The 22,160-nt window shown below is 53.4% G+C and overlaps 2 protein-coding genes across 8 annotated transcripts in view, besides 13 other annotated features; one reads left to right on the top strand and one right to left on the bottom strand.

The window, feature by feature from the left end:
• The window catches only part of TMEM143 (transmembrane protein 143), a 31,585-nt gene extending 17,745 nt beyond the window's left edge, over window positions 1–13,840 (top strand). For 3 of the 5 annotated variants that reach the window (NR_130317.2, NM_001303538.2, NM_018273.4), the window contains 5 exons: window positions 842–1,036; window positions 2,745–2,875; window positions 3,387–3,666; window positions 11,999–12,188; window positions 12,763–13,840. Coding sequence is in view for 4 of the 5 variants with exons in the window: in NM_001303538.2 (NP_001290467.1) it covers window positions 842–1,036; window positions 2,745–2,875; window positions 3,387–3,666; window positions 11,999–12,188; window positions 12,763–12,977 (1,011 nt within the window). In the remaining variant the exon portion in view is untranslated. The remainder of the gene's footprint in view (window positions 1–841; window positions 1,037–2,744; window positions 2,876–3,386; window positions 3,667–11,998; window positions 12,189–12,762) is intronic. The other 2 variants (NM_001303540.2, NM_001303539.2) reach the window with 1 other exon arrangement.
• Window positions 3,038–3,538: an enhancer, noted in NCBI's record as "H3K4me1 hESC enhancer chr19:48845915-48846415 (GRCh37/hg19 assembly coordinates)". NCBI's record gives its function as "activates a minimal SCP1, AML or CMV promoter by ChIP-STARR-seq in naive H9 embryonic stem cells {active_cell/tissue: H9 hESC(naive)}" and the evidence as "EXISTENCE:reporter gene assay evidence [ECO:0000049][PMID:30033119]".
• Window positions 3,539–4,039: an enhancer, noted in NCBI's record as "H3K4me1 hESC enhancer chr19:48845414-48845914 (GRCh37/hg19 assembly coordinates)". NCBI's record gives its function as "activates a minimal SCP1, AML or CMV promoter by ChIP-STARR-seq in naive H9 embryonic stem cells {active_cell/tissue: H9 hESC(naive)}" and the evidence as "EXISTENCE:reporter gene assay evidence [ECO:0000049][PMID:30033119]".
• Window positions 6,188–7,125: an enhancer, noted in NCBI's record as "H3K4me1 hESC enhancer chr19:48842328-48843265 (GRCh37/hg19 assembly coordinates)". NCBI's record gives its function as "activates a minimal SCP1, AML or CMV promoter by ChIP-STARR-seq in naive and primed H9 embryonic stem cells {active_cell/tissue: H9 hESC(naive and primed)}" and the evidence as "EXISTENCE:reporter gene assay evidence [ECO:0000049][PMID:30033119]".
• Window positions 11,803–12,322: a silencer, noted in NCBI's record as "silent region_10877". NCBI's record gives its function as "represses an Ori minimal core promoter by ATAC-STARR-seq in GM12878 lymphoblastoid cells {active_cell/tissue: GM12878}" and the evidence as "EXISTENCE:reporter gene assay evidence [ECO:0000049][PMID:35858748]".
• Window positions 11,803–12,938: a biological region, named in NCBI's record as "H3K4me1 hESC enhancer GRCh37_chr19:48836515-48837250".
• Window positions 12,203–12,938: an enhancer, noted in NCBI's record as "H3K4me1 hESC enhancer chr19:48836515-48837250 (GRCh37/hg19 assembly coordinates)". NCBI's record gives its function as "activates a minimal SCP1, AML or CMV promoter by ChIP-STARR-seq in naive H9 embryonic stem cells {active_cell/tissue: H9 hESC(naive)}" and the evidence as "EXISTENCE:reporter gene assay evidence [ECO:0000049][PMID:30033119]".
• Window positions 12,663–12,712: an enhancer, noted in NCBI's record as "active region_14887". NCBI's record gives its function as "activates an Ori minimal core promoter by ATAC-STARR-seq in GM12878 lymphoblastoid cells {active_cell/tissue: GM12878}" and the evidence as "EXISTENCE:reporter gene assay evidence [ECO:0000049][PMID:35858748]".
• Window positions 12,723–12,812: an enhancer, noted in NCBI's record as "active region_14886". NCBI's record gives its function as "activates an Ori minimal core promoter by ATAC-STARR-seq in GM12878 lymphoblastoid cells {active_cell/tissue: GM12878}" and the evidence as "EXISTENCE:reporter gene assay evidence [ECO:0000049][PMID:35858748]".
• A 1,802-nt stretch (window positions 13,841–15,642) lies between the features above and the next one.
• On the bottom strand, window positions 15,643–20,644 carry EMP3 (epithelial membrane protein 3 (MAM blood group)). Of its 3 annotated transcripts, XM_011526605.4 has the most exons (6): window positions 20,586–20,644; window positions 20,143–20,205; window positions 19,274–19,366; window positions 18,573–18,675; window positions 16,704–16,844; window positions 15,643–15,895 (listed from the first exon to the last, which is right to left on the bottom strand). In XM_011526605.4, the coding sequence occupies exons 3-6, from the start codon at window positions 19,349–19,351 to the stop codon at window positions 15,726–15,728; spliced, it is 492 nt and encodes a 163-aa protein (XP_011524907.1). In that variant the 5' UTR covers window positions 19,352–19,366; window positions 20,143–20,205; window positions 20,586–20,644; the 3' UTR covers window positions 15,643–15,725. The 3 variants fall into 3 exon arrangements, with proteins under 3 accessions (XP_011524907.1, NP_001416.1, NP_001300834.1); NM_001425.3 differs by lacking the exon at window positions 20,143–20,205; NM_001313905.1 differs by lacking the exon at window positions 20,586–20,644 and having other exon boundaries at window positions 20,143–20,197.
• Window positions 16,645–16,794: an enhancer, noted in NCBI's record as "active region_14885". NCBI's record gives its function as "activates an Ori minimal core promoter by ATAC-STARR-seq in GM12878 lymphoblastoid cells {active_cell/tissue: GM12878}" and the evidence as "EXISTENCE:reporter gene assay evidence [ECO:0000049][PMID:35858748]".
• Window positions 19,761–19,830: an enhancer, noted in NCBI's record as "active region_14884". NCBI's record gives its function as "activates an Ori minimal core promoter by ATAC-STARR-seq in GM12878 lymphoblastoid cells {active_cell/tissue: GM12878}" and the evidence as "EXISTENCE:reporter gene assay evidence [ECO:0000049][PMID:35858748]".
• Window positions 20,121–20,170: an enhancer, noted in NCBI's record as "active region_14883". NCBI's record gives its function as "activates an Ori minimal core promoter by ATAC-STARR-seq in GM12878 lymphoblastoid cells {active_cell/tissue: GM12878}" and the evidence as "EXISTENCE:reporter gene assay evidence [ECO:0000049][PMID:35858748]".
• Window positions 20,771–20,820: an enhancer, noted in NCBI's record as "active region_14882". NCBI's record gives its function as "activates an Ori minimal core promoter by ATAC-STARR-seq in GM12878 lymphoblastoid cells {active_cell/tissue: GM12878}" and the evidence as "EXISTENCE:reporter gene assay evidence [ECO:0000049][PMID:35858748]".
• Window positions 21,398–21,629: a silencer, noted in NCBI's record as "fragment chr19:48827824-48828055 (GRCh37/hg19 assembly coordinates)". NCBI's record gives its function as "represses an EF-1alpha promoter that drives an FKBP-Casp9 reporter gene in an ReSE screen in K562 erythroleukemia cells {active_cell/tissue: K562}" and the evidence as "EXISTENCE:reporter gene assay evidence [ECO:0000049][PMID:32094911]".

Genomic DNA, 22,160 nt, shown 5'->3' with positions numbered 1-22,160 from the left:
TGCTTGAACCTGGGAGGTGGAGGTTGCAGTGAGCTGAGATTGCACCACTGTACTCCAGCCTGGGTGACAGAGCGAGACTCCATCTCAAAAAAAAGAGAAAGAAAAAGAAAAAAGGGCTGAGCAAGGTGGCTCATGCCTGTAATCCCAGCACTTTGGGAGGCCGAGGTGGGTAGATCACATGTCAGGAGTTCGAGACCAGCCTGACCAACATGGTGAAACCCCTTCTCTACTAAAAATACAAAAATTAACCGGGCATGGTGGCGTGCATCTGTAATCCCAGCTACTCAGGAGGCTGAGACAGGAGAATCGCTTGAACCCAGGAGGTGGAGGTTGCAGTGAGCTGAGATTGTGCCACTGCACTCCAGCCTGGGCGACAGAGCGAGACTCCGTCTCAAAAAAACAAAAACAAAACACAAAAAAACACAGGCCGGGCACGGTGGCTTATGCCTGTAATCTTAGCACTTTGGGAGGCCGAGGCGGGCATATTGCCTGAGCTCAGGAGTTCAAGACCAGCCTGGGCAACACAGTGAAACCTCATCTCTATTAAAATACAAAAAATATATATATATATTACCCGGGCATGGTGGCGTGCGCCTGTAGTCCCAGCTACTTGGGAGGCTGAGGCAGGAGAATTGCTTGAACCCGGGAGGTGGAGGTTGCAGTGAGCGGAGAACGTGACACTGCACTCCAGCCTGGCAACAGAGCGAGACTCTATCTCAATAAAATAAATAAATAAATAAATAAATAAATGAAAGTATCTGGAGAGGGATGTCCTTAGATGTCCCTAGAATCCTTCATGCAGAGACCTATCCCATCTTTTTCTCTCTGACTCTCCTCTTAGGCCTTATATGACCCCATCAACCCTGACAGGGAGACCCTCGATCAGCCATCACTAACGGATCCCCAGCGTCTGTCTAATGAGCAGGAGGTGCTTCGGGCTCTGGAGCCCCTGCTGGCCCAGGCCAACTTCTCCCCGCTGTCTGAGGACACCCTGGCCTACGCGCTGGTGGTCCACCACCCTCAGGATGAGGTCCAGGTACTTGGCTCCCTAGGAGAACAAAACTCCCAGGAGGCCTCTAGGGTGGGGCAGAGCCTCTGAGAGGCATGGGCTGCTGGGAGTTGTAGTCCTGAGCCTGGGACTGTGGCCCATATGGCGCACTTGGTGAACTCAGAGAAGGGGCTACTTTTGGCTGGATGCAGTGGCTCAAGCCTGTAATCCCAGCAGTTTGGGGGTCCAAGGTGGGTGGATCACCTGAGGTCAAGAGTTCAAGACCAGCCTGGCCAACATGGTGAAACCCCATCTCTACTAAAAATATAAAAAATTATCCAGGCATGGTGGCAGGTGCCTGTAATCCCAGCTACTGGGGAGGCTAAGGCAGGAGAATCTCTTGAACCCGGGAGGTGGAAGTTGCAGTGAGCTGAGATCGTGCCATTGCACTCCAGCCTGGGCAACAAGAGTGAAACTCCATCTGGAAAAAAAAAGGAGGTGCTGCTGTCTCAGGTCACTTCACTGCCATCTGTTGGAAAAGTATCATATGATATGGCTCTCTTAGGGCAAGAGACTTAGCACCATCTGCCAAAATTGTAATAATAAATAATATAATACAAGGCCGGGTTCAGTGGCTCATTCCTGTAATCCCAGCATTCAGGAGGCCGAGGCAGGAGGATCGCTCGAGCCCAGGAGTTCCGGACTCATCTAGGCGACACAGGGAGACCCCGTCTCTACAGAAAATACAAAAATTAGTTGGATATGGTGGTGCGGGCCTGCAGTCCCAGCTACTCGGGAGGCTGAGGTGGGAGGATCATTTGATCCCAGGAGTTTAAGGCTGCAGTGAGCTGTCAGCCATGATCTTGCCACTGCACTCCAGCCTGGATGACAAATTGAGAACCTGTCTCAAAAAAACAAAACAAAACACACACACACAGAGAGACACATTAAAAAAGAAAAAAAAAACCAAGCCCCTAAAAGCACGCAAAATGCTAACAAAATTATAAGAAATACTAAAATCAGCTGGGTGCAGTGGCTCACACCTATAATCCCAGTGCTTTGGGAGGCTGAGGTAGGCAGATCATTTGAGGTCAGGAGTTTGAGACTAGCCTGGCCAACATGGTGAAACCCCATCTCTACTAAAAATACAAAAATTAGCCAGGCATGGTGGCGGGTGCCTGTAGTCCCAGCTACTTGGGAGGCTGAGGCACGAGAATCACTTGGACCCAGGAGGTGGAGGCTGCAGTGAGCTGAGATTGTGCCACTGCACTCCCGCCTGGGTGACAGAGTGAGACAATATCTCAAAATAGAAATAAAAATAAAAACAGAAATAAAAAATACTAAAATCTCCCCAAATTCCACATTTTAGTGATTTTAAACTGCAGTTTTTCCAAAGTCATGTTTTGTCATCTCTGAAATTGGGATGTAATTTACAGGTGGTGGTGTGACATCATTTAATTGGCAACGTATTTTGTTTTTAGTTGCTTCATAAAATAATCAGGTAGAGTCAGTGGCACCTTAGATTCTAGGAAATATGGTAAAGATGACTTCTACGTGAATGGCACTGTGTTAGATCATGAGCCCTTGTGCAGTATACGACATGGACAACCATATGTGACAGCCCTGCCTAGATGGTGAATGGGGATAAGTGGGAAACGGGGGAATTATTTAGGGGCAGGACATCTGATTCTGGTATCCTGCCCTCAACACTCCTGCCCATGTTCACCCGCCACTGCTTCCTTCATCCCCCCGGCAGGTGACAGTAAATTTGGATCAGTATGTCTACATTCACTTCTGGGCCCTGGGCCAGCGAGTCGGGCAGATGCCCCTGAAGTCCAGCGTGGGCTCCAGGCGTGGCTTCTTCACCAAGCTGCCCCCTGCGGAGAGGTGAGGCGGCCCTTGTTCCCCAGCTGCAGCAAGAGGGAGCAAGGTTAGAGTCAAGAGGGGACTGACAGGTCAGTGTCTGGTTTGGGTGTCTGGGCCCCAGGCGGGAAGTTGAGAAATGGGAGGCGTGACTCATCCAAATGCTGTCTTTTCTTCTCAAGGGAAAGTGAGTACTACACTTGATTCCCAGGGGAAGAGAAAGGATGGGGACAGTTCTCCCCATTTTCCAATAAGGAAAACTGAGGCTCGGAGAGGGAGGTCCACATTCTGAAGATGCGGCACGGCCAGGATTCCAACAAACAATCTGCACGTCCAATACCAGGGATCGATGGCGCGATTGAACCGATCCCCTGTGGTTGGACACAGCTGATCCCTGGTTTCTTCCCCATGATTACTGAGTCGCTTTTAAGATGGTTGTGCGACTGTAGAGCCAGAGTGAGCGTCCTAGGATTGGAGGGGGCTCCCCGGGCAGTGCAGTCCCGATCCTGCTCCTGCCTCTGTCTCTGTCCCTCAGGAGATACTTTAAGCGGGTGGTCCTGGCAGCCCGGACCAAACGGGGACACCTGGTACTGAAGAGTTTCAAGGACACGCCGCTGGAAGGCCTGGAGCAGCTGCTGCCGGAGCTGAAGGTGCGCACGCCCACCCTGCAGCGCGCCCTGCTCAACCTCATGCTGGTAGTCTCCGGCGTGGCGATCTTCGTCAACGTGGGCATGGTGGTGCTAACCGACCTCAAGGTGGCCACCTCCCTGCTGCTGCTGCTCTTCGCCATCTTCATGGGCCTGCGGGCCTCCAAGGTGAGCATGCGCCTGCCACGCCTCCTGCGGCCCTGCGCTGTGGGGACCAGGTCAGGCCCCCTGTAGTTGTCTCTGTTTCATGCATTGTTCCTGCGTCATGCTCTCCTCCCTCCCTCCCTCCCTTCCTTCCTTCCCATTCTTCCTCTTTTCTTTCCCTTCCCTTCCCTCCCTGTCCTTCCTTCCTTCCCATTCTTCCTCTTTTCTTTCCCTTCCCTTCCCTCCCTGTCCTTCCTTCCTTCCTCCCTCCCTTCCTCCCTTCTTTCCTTTCTCCCTCTCTCTCCTCCCCTTCCTTTTCCCCTTTCCCTTCCCTTCCTTCTTCCCCTTCCTTCCGCCTCCCCTCCTCTCCCCTCCCCTCCCCTTCCCCTCCCTCCCTCCCTTCCTTCCTGTTCCTCTTTTCCTTCCCTTCCCTCCCTCTCCCCACCTCCTTCCTCCCCCCTTCCCTTTCTCCCTTCCCTCCCTTCTTGCCCTCTCCTCCGCTCCCCTCCCTTCCCCTTCCCTTCCCTACTTCATTTACTCAACACCCCTTAGGGGGGTTTCTTAATCTCTCTGAGCCTCAGTTTTCTCATCTGGAAAATGGGGATGATAGCGAGATCTGCCTTGTAGGGTTGTGAGCATGAAATGAGTGAGTCTGTGAGAAGCACTGGGCAGTGCTCGGCTCGTGGTAGGGGCTACATAAGGGTTGACAGCCGCTCACTGAGTGCCGGCTTTAGGGGCGCTTTAGTGATGCGGTGAAGGGGGTGTGTTCTGGAAGCAGACTTCCTGGATTTGAATCTGACTCTACTCTCTTCTCGCTGTGTGATCTTGAACAAGTTGCTTAACCTCTCTGTGTCTCAGCTTCAAAATCTGCAAAGTAGGGATGATGGTGGGACCTAACTCATAGAGGTGTTGTGGGGATTAAATGAATTAACATGCACAGTGCTGAGAATAGAGCCTCCCACATGGCACAGGAGGTGCTATGTGAGAGTTAGCTATTACCAGGATGATGATTATTATCATTACTAATTGGGCTGTTTGTTCCAAGTCCCCATCCTGACTGGGTATCATTATCACTGGGGGAGCTGGCTGACAAATGCAGCCTCCTGGGCTCCAGTCCTAGTGGACTGAATTGGAAACTCTGGGACTGGGGCCCAGGGAACTATATTTTTAACAAGCTCCCTTTTGATTCTGCTACATGTGAGTGCCGGGCTGCCTTGAACAGTTGCACAGGTTGTTCACCATCCAAGGATTCGTGGCCCAGGGGCCAGGTGGAGGCTGACACCCAACTTGTGCTCCGCTTGCCAAAATGCGTGTCCTGTCTCGAGGCTGAGTCAGCCCAGAGGGGAGCTGCCTTTTACTGATTCTTCCCAGGGTTGGCACCGGCCCCAGGAGTGTAGACTGGTGTGAAGCATCTGTCGTACGCGATCATTCACCTGCTGGCTCATTGGTTTTCAAGCTGTTTTCAGCCATGCTGACAGGCTCTTAGGAAGGCTGGTAATAAATCCCGCAGATAATAGCCAGGCTGTGCCGCCTGAGAGGGTGCTGGCATACTTGGGCCAACAGAGGGGCTGGGGAGGGAGCAATTTCTGCTTGGGACCAGGGCTCAGGTAGGATCTGAGGAAAGCTCTGGAAGACAGGAATTGAGCCTGGTGGAGAAAGAGCCCACGAGCTCAGCCTGGCGTATCTCATGGGGCTGGATCCAGTGAGCAGGGTAGAGAGGGGAAGTCCCAGAGGGTGGTGAGGGCCTTGAATGCCCAGAGTGGTACCCAAGGCCTTATCCTCAGAGCCGCAGGGAGCTGTGGAATGGCTGTAAGCTGCAACCATGGAGGGCAGAGGGGAGGGGCGAGATGAGAGGCAGGGAGGCCCGGTGCCTCTGGGGAGAAGACACTGAGTCCCAGCCCACGGTGACTATTGCCTCACCCCTTGCTGGCCCTTGGGGTGCTATGGAGCCTGTCAGGCTCTGAAAGACCCTATTTCAAACCCAATTCACACCAGGCATGGTGGCACATGCCTGTAGTCCTAGCTACTCAGGAGGCCAAGGTGGGAGGATCGCTTGAGCCCAGGAGTTGGGAGTCCAGCCTGGGCAACATAGTGAAACCCCAAATCAAAAAATAACAATAAAAAAGCCCAGCCAGGCGCAATGGCTCACACCTATAATCCCAGCACTTTGGGAGGCCGAGGCGGGTGGATCACGAGGTCAGGAGTTCAAGACCAGCCTGGCCAAGATGGTGAAACCCCATCTCTACTAAAAACACAAAAATTAGCTGGGCATGGTGGCACATGCCTGTAATCCCAGCTACTCTGGAGGCTGAGGCAGGAGAATCACTTGAACCCAGGGGGCAGAGGTTGCAGTGAGCTGAGATGGCATCACTGTATTCCAGCCTGGGCGACACAGTGAGACTCCATCTCAAAAAAAAAAAAAAAAAAAAAAATCCCAGTTGACAAGTTAATTTAGTGTATTCATGAATTCATGAGGTATTTCCCCACGCCTTGGGGTGAGGCCCAGCCTTTACATGTGGGCCCTTGGCTGGGTGCAGTGGCTCATACCTGTAATCCCAGCACTTTGGGAGGCTGAGGCAGGCAGATCACATGCAGTCAGGAGTTCGAGACCAGCCTGGCCAACGTAGTGAAACCCCATCTCTACTAAAAATACAAAAATTAGCCAGGCGTGGTGGCGCATGCCTGAAATCCCAGCTACTTGAGAGGCTGAGGCAGGAGAATCACTTGAACTCGGGAGGTGGAGGTTGCAGTGAGCTGAGATTGCGCCACTGCATTCCAGCCTCGGTGACAGAGCGAGACTCCCATCCCAACACAAACAAACAAACAAAGAAACAAAAAAACAGTTGGCCCTCCCAGACTCCCTCCTGGCTGGTCCCCTCCTGCGCTTCAGTTGCTCCCAGATCTCTGTCTTCATTGCAAGCCCCTCCCCTAGTCCCCTAATCTGGCTTCTCCTGTTCCCTGGACACACCCAAGCCCATGTGCAGCGTGTCCCCATGAGCCCAGAGTCCAGCTGCCTCAACCCTCCTGCTCCTCTCAAGTTCCCCATCTCACCTTGGAACAGGCACTCAGAGCCCCACTGCGGGATAAGGGGTGCGGGGAGCAAGGTGCGGGATGCGGAGTATGGGGCCCTCTTTCTTCCAAGACACAGGGCTGCTCTGCTTCTGTGGTTTCCACAGGAGCTCTCTACTGTCCATGATCAGATCAACCAAGAAGCTCCAGGCTCAGCCTCCCGGCTGGGGCCCTCACTCTCACTGTAGGCCAAGCACAGCGTCTCCCCTGACATCTTCTCTTCTGGGCTCCGCATCTAAGGATGACCTGTCATCCCGCCAGTCACTGGCTAGACCCCCAGCCCACCCTTCCTGTCCCACCTCTGTGCCCCCTGCTCAGGCCCTCTTCCCAGCCTCCAGTTGGTCCCTTCCAGCCCATTCCCCATTCTACCCAGTCCTGCCCTGCCCCTCCTCTGGGCACAGCCTGGCACCAGGGACCCTGCTTCCCAGCCTCACTGGACACAATCCTTCCCCTCGAATCTGCGCCTCAGCTCCTCCTGCATGCTTGCGGCGCCCCCACCCTGCCATCCCTCGTTCTCTGCCTTTGCCTGTGCTGTTCCCTTGGACTGAAATGCCCTTTCCTCTTGTTGGGCTGGCCAACCCCTGCTCACCCCTCACCCTCAGCTCAGAGGCTGCCTGCTCTGGGAAGCCTTCCCGGATGTCCCAGGCTGGGGTGGTGCCCCTGTGGGTTCCTCCATACCCTGGGCTCTACTGTGAAGCCCCTTAGCCCAGCACCAAGCAGGCCCATGGGGCAGCCTGGGGAGGGATGTTGAACTGGTGCCCCTGAGATGCAGCAGCCCGATCCTGCCCTGGAGGGAGAGGTGTGGGGTCCCTGGACACAGGCAGTCGGTCTGTAATGGAGGCGGCAGCTGGCACAGCAGGAGCCCGAGGCTGCATCTGCTCGTCCGCGAGAGGTGATGTCCATCCTGAGCCTTGAGGATGAGGCAGTGAACATTTTCCAAGAACACACCAGGGGTGGTTTGGCTTGTGCCTGGGCCTGGAGGCCTGAGAGAGCAGGACCTGTTCAGGGTAAACCGGCTTTTTCAGCATGCGCTGCATTCACAGGGGAGGAGCAGGAGGTGACAGGGAGGGCCTCGTGTGCCGGGCCACGGAGCTTGGACTCTGAGAGCACTGGGGAGCCATGGGAGGACCATGAGCAGGGGAGGGGCAGGGGCAGCTCTGAACCTATGTGCAGACAAACTGGACGGGGAGACTGAGGCCAGGGAGGAGGCTGGAGTGATGCAGGCGGGGATAAAGTCTGAGCCAAGGATGAGCTGGGGAGCTGCAGAGGAGGAGACGGGCAGAGAGAGTCAGGGGACTGCAGAATGGGGTTGGGACTGACAGGTTGGCGAAGGGGGAGCAAGGATGGTGCCAGGGGCCTGGCCTGTGACTGAGTAGGTGGAGGGGCTGCCCAAGACATAGACCCCAGGGTAGGAGGAGCGAGTGCTGTATTCCTTGTGGGCAGCGGTAGTGCTGAAGGGACCCTCCGGGTGGCAGGGGGACCCCTCTCCAGGGAGACTCTGGCTTCATCTGTGTGCCACAGAGTGACCTGCTCCTTTAACTAGAATTCAGCTCCATCGGCTTGGCAGATACTGACACAAACCCAATGTGTTTTTCATACCACACGGTCCCTAACGCATGCTATTCCTGCATCTTGCCCTCAACCGAAGAAATGGCGATTCGTTCCAATGCAGGCACCTAAACTGACTGTGCTGGCCTGGTGAGAAGAGGGTACAGTCCACATGCAAGCGTGTCATTGGTACCTTGCAGGCCATTTCAGCGATTTTCTGGGGTGCGCTGACTTGAGAGGCATTTCACCTCAGGCCTCGGTGTGAGATGGGAACACCCTATGGGCACCCAGCACAGGGTGTGGGTGACTGTTCCATAGTAGCTGATGTTTGGTAAGTGTTTCTGAGGGGCCAGGCTTTGTCCCAATGTTTTTTTTTTTTCTTCTTTTTTTGAGATGGAGTCTCGCTCTGTCCCCCAGGCTGGAGTGCAGTGGTGCAACCTCAGCTCACTGCAACCTCTGCCTCCTGGGTTCAAGCCATTCTCCTGCCTCAGCCTCCCAAGTGGCTGGGATTACAGGCGCCGCCACCATGCCTGGCTAATTTTTTGTATTTTTAGTAGAGACGGGGTTTCACTATGTTGGCCAGGCTGGTCTTGAACTCCTGACCTCGTGATCCGCCCGCCTCGGCCTCCCAAAGTGCTGGGATTACAGGCGTGAGCCACCGCGCCCGGCTGTCCCAATGTTTTATTAACCGTGTATTGACTTCCTGAACCCTCCCTGGCATTGGCATTGTTGTACAGACAGTGCTGACTGAGGACTTAGGTCTTACCAGGGGCAGCCGGTAAGGGTTTAGTGGGTCAGGCAGCCAGGCCTGCCAGCTACAGGGTCCAGTGGCCCTGAGCTCATTTTGTGGCTGAATGGAGGAATCTGGGTACAGGTACAGGTTTTCTTTTTTTTCTTTTTTCTTTTTTTTTTTTGTGAGACTGAGTCTTGCTCTGTCACCCAGGCTGGAGTGCAGTGGTGCGATCTCAGCTCACTGCAAGCTCCGCCTCCCAGGTTCACGCCATTCTCCTGCCTCAGCCTCCTGAGTAGCTGGGACTACAGGCACCCACCACCACGCCCAGCTAATTTTGTTTTTGTATTTTTAGTAGATACAGGGTTTCACCGTGTTAGCCAGGATGGTCTCGATCTCCTGACCTCGTGGTCTTGATCTTCTGACCTCGTGATCCACCCGCCTCGGCCTCCCAAAGTGCTGGGATTACAGGCGTGAGCTACTGCGCCCGACCGCTTTTTTTTTTGAGACACAGTGTCACTCTGTCGCCCAGGCTAAAGTGCCGTGGCACGATCTCGGCTCACTGCAACTTCTGCCTCCCGGGTTCAAGAGATTCTCTTGCCTCAGCCTCCTGAGTAGCGGGAATTACAGGCACATGACACACACCTGACTAATTTTTGTATTTTTATTTATTTATTTTTTTGAGACAGAGTCCCACTCTGTTGCCCAGGCTGGAGTGCAGTGGCGCAATCCTGGCTCACTGCAACCTCCACTTCCCGGGCTCAAGCGACTCTCCTGCCTCAGCCTCCCAAGTAGCTGGGATTACAGGTGCCTGTCACCATACCTGACTAATTTTTTTTTTTTGTATTTTTAGTAGAGACAAGGTTTCACCATGTTGGCCAGGCTGGTTTCGAACTCCTGACCTCAAGTGATCTGCCCGTCTCGGCCTCCCAAAGTGCTAGAATTACAGGCATGAACCACCGTGCCAGGTCTAATTTTTGTATTTTTAGTAGAGATGGGGTTTCACCATGTTGCCCAGGTTGGTCTCGAACTCCTAACCTCAAGTGATCTGCCCTCCTCATCCTCCCAAAGTGCAGGGATTACAGGTGTCAGCCACTGCATCTGGCCTGGGCACAGTTTTTCAGTGGGAGCCCAGAGGGCACTGATGCCCTCATTTCTCCTTACCAATATCAAGGATGAGAAGAGGGGTCCAAGCAAAGAGACTAACGGTGGGGAAGTGGGCAGCCAGTAGACAGCTGGGCCCAGACCTGTTCTTCCCCCCAACATCCTTCCCCTCTCCTCTTCTCTTTACAATTTAACTTTTTTCTTTTTTTGAGACAGGGTCTCACTCTGTTGCCCAGCCTGGAGTGCAGTGGTATGATCATGGCTCACTGTAGCCTCAGCCTCCTGGGTTCAGGTGATTCTCCTGCTTCAGCCTCATGAGTAGCTGGGACTACAGGTGCTCACCATCACACCCAGCTAATTATTATTATTATTATTTTTTGAGGCAGAGTTTCATTCTTGTTGCCCAGGCTGGAGTGCAATGGCATGATCTCGGCTCACTGCAACCTCTGCTTCCCAGGTTCAAGCGATTCTCCTGCCTCAGCCTCCCGGGTAGCTGGGATTACAGGCATGAGCCACCATGCCCGGCTAATTTTGTATTTTTAGTAGAGACGGGTTTCTCCATGTTGGTCAGGCTGGTCTCGAACTTCCAACCTCAGGTGATTCACCTGCCTTGGCCTCCCAAAGTGCTGGGATTACAGGCGTGAGCCACTGAGCCCAGCCTGCTATTGTTTTTTAATTTTAATTTTTTGTAGAGATGAAGCTTTTGCCATGTTGCCCAAGCTGGTCTTGAACTCCTGGGCTCAGGTGATCCACCCACCTTGGCCTCTCAGCGTTGGGATTACAGGCCTGAGCCACTGCACTTGGCCTACAGTTTAATATTTTAAACCATTTTTTCCTTCATTATAGAAAAGTTCAAACAAACACAGAAATAGGATAGTATGATAAACTCCACTAGCCAGCACCTAGCATCAACAATTAGCAATAGTTAATCAGATTTCCCCTGAAGACCTCCACTGTCCTACTATTGGATGATTTTGAAGTAAATCCTACCTAGACTTATTTGGAAATACTTTATTATGTCTCTAAAACATAAGGATGTATTGTAACAAAATCTTTCAAAGCTAAAACTCCTATCATCTGCAAACCTTTGGGTAAATCCATTAATACATGGCTCAGATGAGCAAACCAGTGCAGTGGTTGCTGAAAACTGTAGGCCAGATGGGGCTGGTGGTCTTGGAGCCACTGGAATGAGGGCACGTGTGTTAAAAATACAGATCCCCAGCCGGTGCCTTGGGTCACGCCTGTAACCCCAGCACTATGGGAGGCTGAGGAGCGAGGATCACTCCAGGCTGGGAGTTTGAGACCAGCCTGGTCAACACAGGGAGAATCCCGTCTCTACAAAAAATATCGGGCTTGGTGGCGCACACCTGTAGTCCCAGCTACTTAGGAGGCCAAGGCGGGAGGATCGCTTGAGCCCGGGAGTTCAAAGCTTCAGTGCGTTATGAGTTTGCCTGTGAATAGCCACTGAACTCCAGACTGGGCTACAGGGCGAGACCCTGTCGAAAAAAAAAAAAAAAGGAAAGAAAAGAAAGAAAGGAAGGAAGGAAGAAAAAGAAAGAAAGAAAAGAAAAGAAAGAAAGAGAAAGAAAGAAAAGAAAGAAAGAACGAAAGAAAGAAAGAAAAAGAAAGAAAGAAAGAAAGAAAGAAAGAAAGAAAGAAAGAAAGAAAGAAAGAAAGAAAGAAAGAGAGAAAAAGAAAGAAAAAGAAAAGACAGACCCCAAAAATCCCCAAATAGATCCCTCGACTGAGCTCTGGGGACCCGTACTGAAGAGGTCTGGGTAGGACCTCCCCGCCTCCTCAGGGGAGTAAGCGGCGTGGGCCGTGCCAGCGGGGGTGACCCCGGGGGCTGTGTATGGGTGGGGGCGCACCCCGAACTGAGCCCACGGGGCGCTGTCCCGCCTGCAGATGTTCGGGCAGCGGCGCAGCGCGCAGGCGTTGGAGCTGGCGCACATGCTGTACTATCGCAGTACGTCCAACAACTCGGAGCTGCTCAGCGCCCTGGCCCTGCGCGCGCAGGACGAGCACACCAAGGAGGCGCTGCTGGCTCACAGCTTCCTGGCCCGGCGGCCAGGGGGCACTCAAGGCTCGCCCGAAGGTAGGACGTGGCCCTGGGACCCTGCCCCCAGGGGCCACACCCCCGCGAGGCCCCGCCCCAGCGAGATGCGTCCCCACCCCCAGTTCCCACGGGTGAACCTGACGGGTTTGCGAAGAGACCCCGGCCCTCAGCAGACAGGACCTCCGAATCCAGACTCCGATCTTGGTGCCTGATGTGACAGCCCTTTCTTAACCTCAGCCTGGTTGGGAGTCTTGGCTCCATGGCACGGCCCCCTCCTGTCATTCTTTCCTCTACCTGAGCTGACACTCTCCCTACAAGAGATCCTGCGCGCTCCCTGTGTGGGCTCCAGGTGGTCCCCTTGCCTACAGGAGCCCCCACCTTCCCTGCCCAAGAGCCCCTGACTGGTCCCCAGACGAAAGCCCCAGAGCTGGGCCTTCTGGCCCTCTCGACCCTCCTGGGCCTTGTTCCGCTCCCCTCCAAGCCTCAAGATCACTCCTAGGCTTCTCCCAAACCCAGGCCCTTCCTGTTCTTTGCCCTACGCCCCTCCTTGCTGCTCCCTCGAATCTTCCCCGATCTCAGTGTGACCTCAGAACACCTGCCTCTCCCCTTGCAGAGACCTCCAGGTGGCTCCGGTCGGAGGTGGAGAACTGGCTCCTAGCCAAGTCAGGCTGTGAGGTGACCTTCAACGGAACTCGGGCCCTGGCGCATCTGCAGGCCCTGACCCCCAGCATGGGATTGTACCCACCCCCGGGTTTCCCCAAACTAGACCCAGTGGCTCCGATCACTTCCGAGCCCCCGCAAGCCACGCCCAGCAGTAACATCTCCTGAGTAGAACCTACCTCCCTGCCCAGTCAGCAGGCTAGGAACTAAGCCCCGCCTCCTTCACGACAGGCTGTCAATTACGGTTATTATACTTTTCACTCCAACTTCCAATAACTGACAGGTGATTATTTTTGCTGCACTGTGTGCTTAAGCAAAGCAGCCAATCAAAGCAGCTAGCAGTTGTTAAGTCTTCCCCGCCCCTTCGATGAACAGCCAATCAAAGCGATTTAGCTCTGCTTCTGTTCCATTTCTTAGTCCCACCCTCACCATAAACATCCAAGTGTGGTTTGGCTGAGGAGCTGAGGGTGTCTGCCAATCACAGCTGCTCAGCTCTGGCTTCTGTAAACCGCCAGGTAGAAGAGTTAAAGCTGCGCCCTCCCGAGACTATATATCATTGTCTTTTTCAGCCCGCTCCGGGCAAACTGCCCATCATGTGCACCAAGGCCGTTAGCCCTGCCTCCTGGCAAACGTCCAGTGACAGCTGCTGGGTTCCATCAACTTTGGGCAGCCGGTTGTCGCTGCAGGGAAGGAACCAATAAGAATTTCTAAAGGAAACCTGATCTTGCTATCAATTGCTGCTGCTTAAATGGCAGGCCAACTGGTCAGCTGCTGATCAGGGTGTCTAGGCTGAAGGAGTTGGAGACCTTGTGCTAGGTAGGTGAACCAGAAACCACCCTCGCCACCAAGACTCGCTCCCAACCTGGCTCCCGGCAACCTCAGGTGCCTTCCTCGCCCAGGTCTTTCACCCTTTCTACAGAAACTACCTCGGTCTGGATCTCCCCACCACCAGCAGCCTGTGCAATATTTATTGGTCTATCAATTTCTCCCGTCTCCTGTCCCAAAGTAATAAATCATGTTTAATAAGTCTGGATGAGGCTACTCTTAACGCACTGCCTTTAGGGTAACCCTGCTCTGTAGGAGTGGTTAAAAAATTATTTTTAAAAATCTAGATGAGTGGGATGGCTGCAGGAGTTGGAGGGAAGGAAAGCATTTGAATCCTGGAAAGAGGGGAGGGACTCTAGCTAGGTCTTGGGGTCCCAGACAGAGAAAGCTGTAGTCCTAAAAAGAGGCTGGGTTCATGGTCGGTGAAACAAAGACAGTCATAGAAGAGGATCTTAGAAGGATCTGATTCCAGAGGAGTCCCAGGGCCTGATGAACAGAGGAGATAGCGTAGCCATGTGCGATTGTGCAGATTTGCAGATTTTTTTTTGTTCTTGAGATGGAGTTTCGCGCTTGTTGCCCAGGCTGGAATGCAATGGCATGATCTTGGCTCACTGCAACCTCCGCCTCCTGGGTTCAAGTGATTCTCCTGCCTCAGCCTCCCGAGTAGCTGGGAGGCGCCTGCCACCGCGCCTGGCTAATTTTTTGTATTTTCAGTAGAGACGGGGTTTCACCATGTTGGCCAGGCTGGTCTCGAACTCCTGACCTCAGGTGATCCACCTGCCTCAGCCTCCCAAAGTACTGGGATTACAGGCGTGAGCCACCGCACCCGGCCTGTGCAGATTGTTAACTGCACAAAGGAACACAGCCACGGGTGGGTGGCTGTAAGACCCAGCCCATACCCCTACATGTATCCTGGTGTGGGGCTGGGTCAGCCAGAAGAAGGGGTGCCTCCTAATTTTTGCTAACGTGTCATATGGGCTAGAGGCAGCCTTTGGGGAGACAGGGGAAGTCTCCCTCTCTAGGACCCCAAATGTTCAGTCCCTAGAGAGGGAGACTGGGCTGGGCGCGGTGGCTCCCGCCTGTAATCCCAGCACTTTGGGAGGCTGAGGTGGGTGGATCACCTGAGGTCAGGAGTTCAAGACCAGCCTGGCCAACATGGTGAAACCCCGTGTCTACTAAAGATACAAAAATTAGCCGGACGTGGTGGTGGGCGCCTGTAATCCCAGCTGCTCAGGAGGCTGAGGCAGGAGAATTGCTTGAACCCGGGAGGCGGAGGTTGCAGTGAGTGAAGATCGCACCACTGCACTACAGCCTAGGTGACAGAGCGAGACTCCGTCTCAAAAAAAAAAAAAAAAAAAAAAAAGAGAGAGAGGGAGACTGGTTTCCTAGAGGGAAAAAGAAAGCTGTCTTCCCAAATGGAAAGTTAGTAGAAAGAAAAAAGAGTCCAGAACTAGCCGGGTGTGGTGGCTCGTGCCTGTAGTCCCAGCTACTCGGGAGGCTGAGGCAGGAGAATCGCTTCAACCCGGGAGGCGGAGGTTGCAGTGAGCTGAGATCGTACCACTGCACTCCAACCTGGACAGAAAGAAAAAAAGAGTCCGACAATCTAGAAACACACACTATGCCCGGGGTTCAGAGAGAGAGAGCAACAGAGTGACAGAAGCTTGAGCAAGGAGACAGGACTGGTCACTGCAGGCTTCCTATCCTAACAGGGTCTGCTGGGACCCAGAATCCAGGTTCTTCCCAGAAGTGTCTGAAGGTCTAGATTCAGGTGCCTCACAGAGGTCTCTTGGGCCTTGAGCGGGGAAGGCCCAGGCTCTTGGGTCTGTGGGAGGGAAAAGGTGCCTGGGGTCCCGGCTCCTGTGTCCTCGGGAGGAAGGGGTTGGGGGCTGGGAGATGGGCATTCTGAGGGCTGAGCAGCTGGCGGTGGGGACCATGTTAGGTTCAGGAGAGGTCAAGCGTGCGCAGCCTGGGTCCCTGGAGGCGGAAGGAAGGAAGATCAAGGCAGAGCCCGCGGTTAAGGTTTTATTTTTTGGAGGACGCGCGGCGAGGGGGGCCGGGAAGGGGCGGGGGCAGCCGAGCGAGGCGGGGCGCTCACTCCCGCTTCCGTAGGTGGATGTAGATGATGCCGCTGACCAGGGCGAGGGGGAAGGCCACCCAGGCCAGGGCGAAGCAGTATCCGAAGCTGCCCCCTCGCGGGTGCTTCTCCAGGATCTCCTCGGCGTGAATGGCATAGATCAAGGCGCCAGTAAACACCGCCACGCCTGCGGAAGATGAAAACCACACGTCATGCAGTGCCCCCTCAAGACTACATTTCCCAATATCCCATGGGGGCAAAGAAGCGCCGGAGGGCCCGTGGGCAGCGCCGCTGCCTGCTGGGAGTTGTGGTTCTTTCCCCCCCGCCCAGCGCCGTGCAACTGTAGCGCGGCCTTAGGTAACTGATTTAATCTCTCTAGGTCCAATAATATCTCTCTATCCATCCAAGGAATATTTTTGAGTGTGTTTCTATAAGCCAAACATGCAGTAGTAAATTCATAAACCAAGAGAGAAGCTTTGCAAGAACCTATAATGTTCCCCAAACTGACTGTGATTAAGTTAGCCCTTTGCACCTTAAGTCAAAAAATTAAAAAGTACGCAAAACTTCTTGAAGTATCTGATGCACAATAGGCACGCAAGAAACAGCGGTTGGCTGATATAAATACCATTATTATTATGATTTAGAGCTCTCTACTGAGGTACTAATTAGTTTATCCCCCCACGTCACGGCCGATCCCTGGGACCAAAACTATTTACCTATACCTCCTTCCCCAGCCCCGGCTCCCTGAAACTCTGAGTTCCCTGATGACTCATACGCACAAGCCATAACTATCATTAGCCACTGAAAACTACAAGTCCCAGCAATCCCTGGGGGCAGAGATGTAGCCCACGGAGGCACCTCTTGTGGCTCGTGGGGTGTTGAAAGTTGTTTTTTTCTACGAGAGGCCCATTCTCAGGGCCCCCAGCATCTTGACACACCCCACTCCCTTCTGCTCAATTCTTGGGGGATTAGGGTTGGGGAGGGGCAGTGCTCACTGGTGCAAAGCTGGCAGAGGCCGGTGGCATAGAAGAGACCTCCTCGTCGCATGGTGTAGAGCTGGAACATGAACAGGATGAAGGAGAGACAGCAGAGAATGAGGGAGAGCACCATGAGGACCTGCACCGCCTTCAGCCAGCCTGCAGTAAGGAGGACACAGAGGGGGACATCACCGTGGGTCCAGAGTTCCAGCTTCACCTGCTTGCTCACCATGTGACCCTTCTCTGCCCCATCCCTGCTCCCGTTTAGGCCCATACAAGCCTAGATACTTAGATGTATCACTTATTTTGACCTTGAGCCCTGTTACCTTGCTATATTCCCTTCTCAGTTCTAGTAGTTGCTTTGCCAATTTCCTTTTTCTTTTTTTTCTGAAACCAGGTCTTGCTCTGTTGCCCAAGCTGGAGTGCAGTGGTATAATCATGGCTCACTGCAGCCTCGTCCTTCAGGGCTCAAGAAATTCTCTCACCCCTGCCTCCTGAGTAGCTGGGACCACAGGCACAAGCCACCACAACCTGGGTAATTTTTAAATTTTTGTAGAGACAGGGTTTCCCTATGTTGTCCAGGCTGGTCTTGAACTCCTGGGCTTAAGTGATCCTTCCTCCTCAGCCTCCCAAGGTGCTGGGATTACAGGTGTGAGCCACTGTGTCTGTCTGCTTTGCAGAATTTTAATGGATTTTCTACATAAACAACATGTTTACTGGGAATAGAGACACTTTTTCCTAATTTATTTCCCATGCCCTTTATTTCTTTTTCTTGCCTTCTTGCATTGGCTACTCCAGTAAAAGGTTGAATAGAAGTGGTGAGAGCAGACCACTTCCTTTAATCTTAGTTTTGCATTAAATCTTTCACACAGAACTTTAGATAGATGCAGCTCTATTCCTTTAGAACTCCAATGCACCTGGCCCCACCCCTTTAGAACCTTAAGTGGTTTCAGCCCCATCCCCTTGGAATTTGGATGAAATGGTCCCAGGCATCCATTCAGAGCACCAGCCCCATCTCCTTAGAGCTTTGGAAAAATACTCTTGTCTTCTCAGAATCTTGGGAGATTTTTCTCTATTCTTTTTTTTTTTTTTTTTTTTTGAGACAGAATCTTGCTCTGTTGCCCAGGCTGGAGTGCAGTAGTGCAATCTCAGCTCACTGCAACCTCCACCTCCTGGGTTCAAGCGATTCTTCTGCCTCAGCCTCCCAAGTAGCTGGGACTACAGGCGCACGCCACCATGCCCGGCTAATTTTTTTGTATTTTTAGTAGAGACGGGGTTTCATCATCTTGGCCAGGCTGGTCTCGAACTCCTGGCCTCGTGATCTACCCGCCTTGGCCTCCCCTCTCTATTCTTTAAACCTATAGCATGCTTTTATCTATATGGCCTCTTCAGAACAGGAGGTACTGGCTGGATGTGGTGGCTCACGCCTGTAATCTCAGCACTTTGGGAGGCTGAAGCAGGTGGATTAGCTGAAGTCAGAAGTTCAAGACCAGCCTGGCCAACATGGTGAAACCTGTCTCTACTAAAAATGCAAAATTAGCCAGGCGTGGTGGCACACACCTGCAGTCCCAGCTACTCGGGAGGCTGAGGCAGGAGAATTGCTCGGACCCCGGAGGGAGAGGTTGCAGTGAGCCAAGATTGCGCCACTGCACTCCAGCCTGGGCAACCAGAGGAAAACTCGGTCTCAAAAAACAAAAACAAAAAAAACAAGAGGTAGGTACATCCAGACAGGCGGGACATGCATTAGCCCTAGGCACTCAGCCACTCAGGCCTGGACCCCGCCCACTCCAACTTTGTTGGGGGAGGGTTCCCAATTCTCAGTCCCATGAGGACACGAAGGGTTTACCTTCCCCTTTGAAGACCAGTCCCGCCGCCCTCACCCCTCACCATTCTCGCTGACATTACTGCAGGCCCATGTTTTGGTGTCGTTGTTCCACGTGCAGTCGTACCAGAGATTCAGGGACTCTTTCCCAGGGAGAGTCCACCAGGACTGGGATGGACAGAGAACGAAACAAGGGGCAGGGTTAGGAAAGGAGAGGGGATAGGGTCAGGCAGACTGTGGGAAGGGCTGGGAAAAGGGCAGGGTATCTGGGATGGGGCAGAACTGGGGAGAGTTAGGATTTAATATGAGAGGGGGTAGGGTCAGGACAGGGAGGAGGCATCGGAGGTAGAGCTAAAAGGGTTAACCTGGTGGTTCATGCCTGTAATCCCAGCACTGTGGGAGGCCGAGGCAGGTGGATCACTTGAGGCCAGGGGTTCGAGACCAGCCTGGGCAACATGGTGAAACCCCGTCTCTACCAAAATAAAAAAATTAGCCGGGCTTGGTGGCAGGTGCCTCTAATCCCAGCTACTTGGGGGGCTGAGACAGGAGAATCGCTTGAACCCGGGAGGCCGAGGTTGCAGTGAGCCGAGATCGCACCACTGCACTCCAGCCTGGGGGACAGAGTGAGACCCTTGTCTCAAAATAAATGAAATAAAATAAAAAAGAAATACTAGGTAAAGGGGGTGGGGCCAGAATGCCTTTAGAGGAGGGGCGTGGCAAGATTCCAAAGGGGAACAGAAGGGCCCTGAGCTCCAAGTAGGCTTACCTTGTCCAAAGTGGCCACGAAAAGCAGTATAAGAATGAGGATGTGAAGGGCTGAGACCACCAGCAAGAGGAGTGACATGGCTGCAGTGGAAGCCTGGGGAGGGGGAGCAGGGGACGGAGTCTCAAGAGGTTGGCACAGGCCAGGCACACTCACGCCTATAACCCCAGCACTTTGGGAGGCCGAGGCGGGAGGATCACCTGAGGTCAGGAGATCGAGACCAGCCTGGCCAACATGGTGAAACCCCATCTCTACTAAAAATACAAAATTAGCTGGGTGTGGTGGTGCACACCTGTAATCCCAGCTACTCGGGAGGCTGAGGCAGGAGAATCACTGGAATCCAGGAGGCAAAGGTTGCAATGAGCCAAGATCATGCCATTGCACTCCAGCCTGGGTGACAGAGAAAGACTCCGTCTCAAAAAAAAAAAAAAATTTGGCATAAAGGCAGGTGAGATGTCTCCTGATGGAGGAAGGGCATGGGTGCAGACTCCTGGGTCTCTCAGGGAGGAGACCGCTGGGGCCTGGATTCCTGAGATCCCCATTGGCTGGAGGGGTGGAGAGGGCCAAAGATGGACTCTTGGGTTCCTTGAATGAGGAGGACTAGCAATGTGGCTCCTCTCTCCCCAGAACCCTGACTCTGGGTTACATACAGGCCAGATAGTGAAAATTCAAGTTGAGACCCCACCCTGCACCCCGACATCAGGATTGAGGAGCTGCCCCCAGCAACAGGCATTCTTGACTCACACCACTCCTCTCCTGGGTTGAGGGGAGGAGGGGGACCTGGTGAGTCATCTGGTGACTCATCCCCACCCCCCCCCATCTCTAAGCACCAGGGAAACCCCAGCCCCTGGCTATGTCCACGAGGTCCTCACCCCACCCTGCTGCCAGACTGGTGACTGTTGGACATCTTCTGGAGGAAATGGATAGGATTCGCGCTGGGGGGAAGAGAGGCCCAAGAAGGAGTTAGCCTCCCAGGACTCTTTGGTGCCCAGGAACAGGGGACCTAGAGGTCTCCCAGATTTGGGGTGTTCTCATGCAATGCCCTGATCTCAGGGACCCCAGAGGACAGTGGACACCGCTGAGGGAAAAACTGCAGGAAGTTTTCCAGTGGAGGGCTCTGCTGGGACCCCAAAACTTTGCCGGGCCCCACCCCTTCCCATATCCCCACCTCAAGTGCTAAGAGATCACTTATTAAATTAAAAGGATTTCCAAGAGTCAGGGACGTCTCTCCCAGCCTGGGGGTGTCCTTCCCAAACTGCTACATTCCCAAGTAAATTAAGAAGTCCCAGCCCTGAATAACGGACTGGAAACTTACCGAGAGCCGCGAAAAAAGTCAGAGCTGGAGTCGGAGTCTTGTCCCTCGCTCGGGCCTCCGTGCCCCGCCCTTCTCCTCCCTCCTTTCACCCTCCCGAGGCCCCCGCCTCTCTCACCGCCTTCCTCCCTCCCTTGCTCTCCCCTCCAATCCAGAACCCTTTCTCTCTCGCTCGCTCTCCTTCTGCGTCTCTTCTCTCCCTCCTGCCCTCACTGTCTGGGCCTCCTTCTCTCTTGCTCCCGTTTCTCTTTCTCTCCTCCTCTCAATATATACTGACCCTTTTATAAACCCACCCTCACCGCACCCAGCTGAGGTCGGCTGCCAGTGGGAGGGCCCAGGCACTCCGGTTCCTCTTTCTTTGGGCCCCCACCCAATCCCTCCAGACAGACATCATCTGGGGCTCCCTCCCAGGGTTGAGATGAGAAACTCTTGGAATGGGGTTCTTGGGGGGGGCAAGCGTCAGGGGTGGGAGGGCCCGATTCTCAGGACCCTTGAGTTTTGAGGTCTTGCCCTGGGGCCGGATGTCTGCTTTCCCTGATGGAGCTTGGAGCTGGATAGGAGTCTGGGAAAAGAGGCCAGATTTCTGTGGCATGGACTTGAGATTGGGCTGGTGAAGTTGGCCCCGTGGTGGGGGGTCAGAGGATGGGAGATGAAATTTGTGAAACTCGGCAGGGCGTTGTGGCTCACGCCTGTAATCCCAGCACTTTGGGAGGCCGAGACGGGCAGATCATCTGAGGTCAGGAGTTCGAGACCAGCCTGGCCAACATGGTGGAAACCCGTCTCTATCAAAAATACAAAAATTAGCCGGGCGTGGTGGCGGGCGACTGTAATCCCAGCTACTTGGGAGGCTGAGCCATGAGAATCGCTTGAACGCGAGAGGTGGAGGCTGCAGTGAGTTGAGTTTGCACCACTGCCTTCCAACCTGGGGGACAAAGTGAGATTCTGTCGCAAAAAAAAAACAAAACAAAACAAAAAACAAACAAACAAAAAAAAAAACCTTGTGAAACTCTGGAAGCGGGGAGGAAGCGGAAGCTAAGAATCCCAGCGCCATCATTTCCTGGTTCAGTGACCTTGAGCCAATTATTTCACCCACCTGGGCTCCAGTATCTTAGTCTATGTTGAGAGTATAATAATGCTGACAAAATACTAATACTGATAATAATAATTCTGATACTTATGCTGAATGAATAAGGTAATACTGGCACACTCACACACCTAACCTGTTCCTTCCTTCATCAAACATTTATTGAACATGTACTCTGATCTGGGAGTTAATAATGAAAACAGACATGAGCCCTGCTGGTATTATGGAGCTTGTATTCTAGTAGAGGAAGACAGACAAGAGAAAACATCAATGATGAAGATAAATCTCAGATAAGGATAAGTGACTTGAAAAATAAATACAATAGGCTGGACGTGGTGGCTCATGCCTGTAATCTCAGCACTTTGGGAGGCCAAGGCTGGAGGATCACCTGAGGTCGAGAGTTCAAGACCAGCCTGGCCAACATGGTGAAACCCTGTCTCTACTAAAAATACAAAAATTAGCCAGGCATGGTAGTGGGCGCCTGTAACCCAGCT

The sequence above is a fragment of the Homo sapiens genome, chromosome 19 (assembly GCF_000001405.40).
Source record: "Homo sapiens chromosome 19, GRCh38.p14 Primary Assembly".
NCBI lineage: Eukaryota > Metazoa > Chordata > Mammalia > Primates > Hominidae > Homo > Homo sapiens.
This window is presented reverse-complemented; position numbering and strand designations above follow the sequence as displayed.

Bases quoted from the DNA above. Each gene is read 5' to 3' on its own strand.
- EMP3 (XM_011526605.4), bottom strand. From the start codon at position 19,351: ATGTCACTCCTCTTGCTGGTGGTCTCAGCCCTTCACATCCTCATTCTT. The intron at 18,676-19,273 runs GTAAGCCTACTT...TGTCCATCCCAG, and splicing joins TCGTGGCCACTTTGGACAAG to TCCTGGTGGACTCTCCCTGG. The intron at 16,845-18,572 runs GTGAGGGGTGAG...TCCTTACTGCAG, and splicing joins CAGTAATGTCAGCGAGAATG to GCTGGCTGAAGGCGGTGCAG.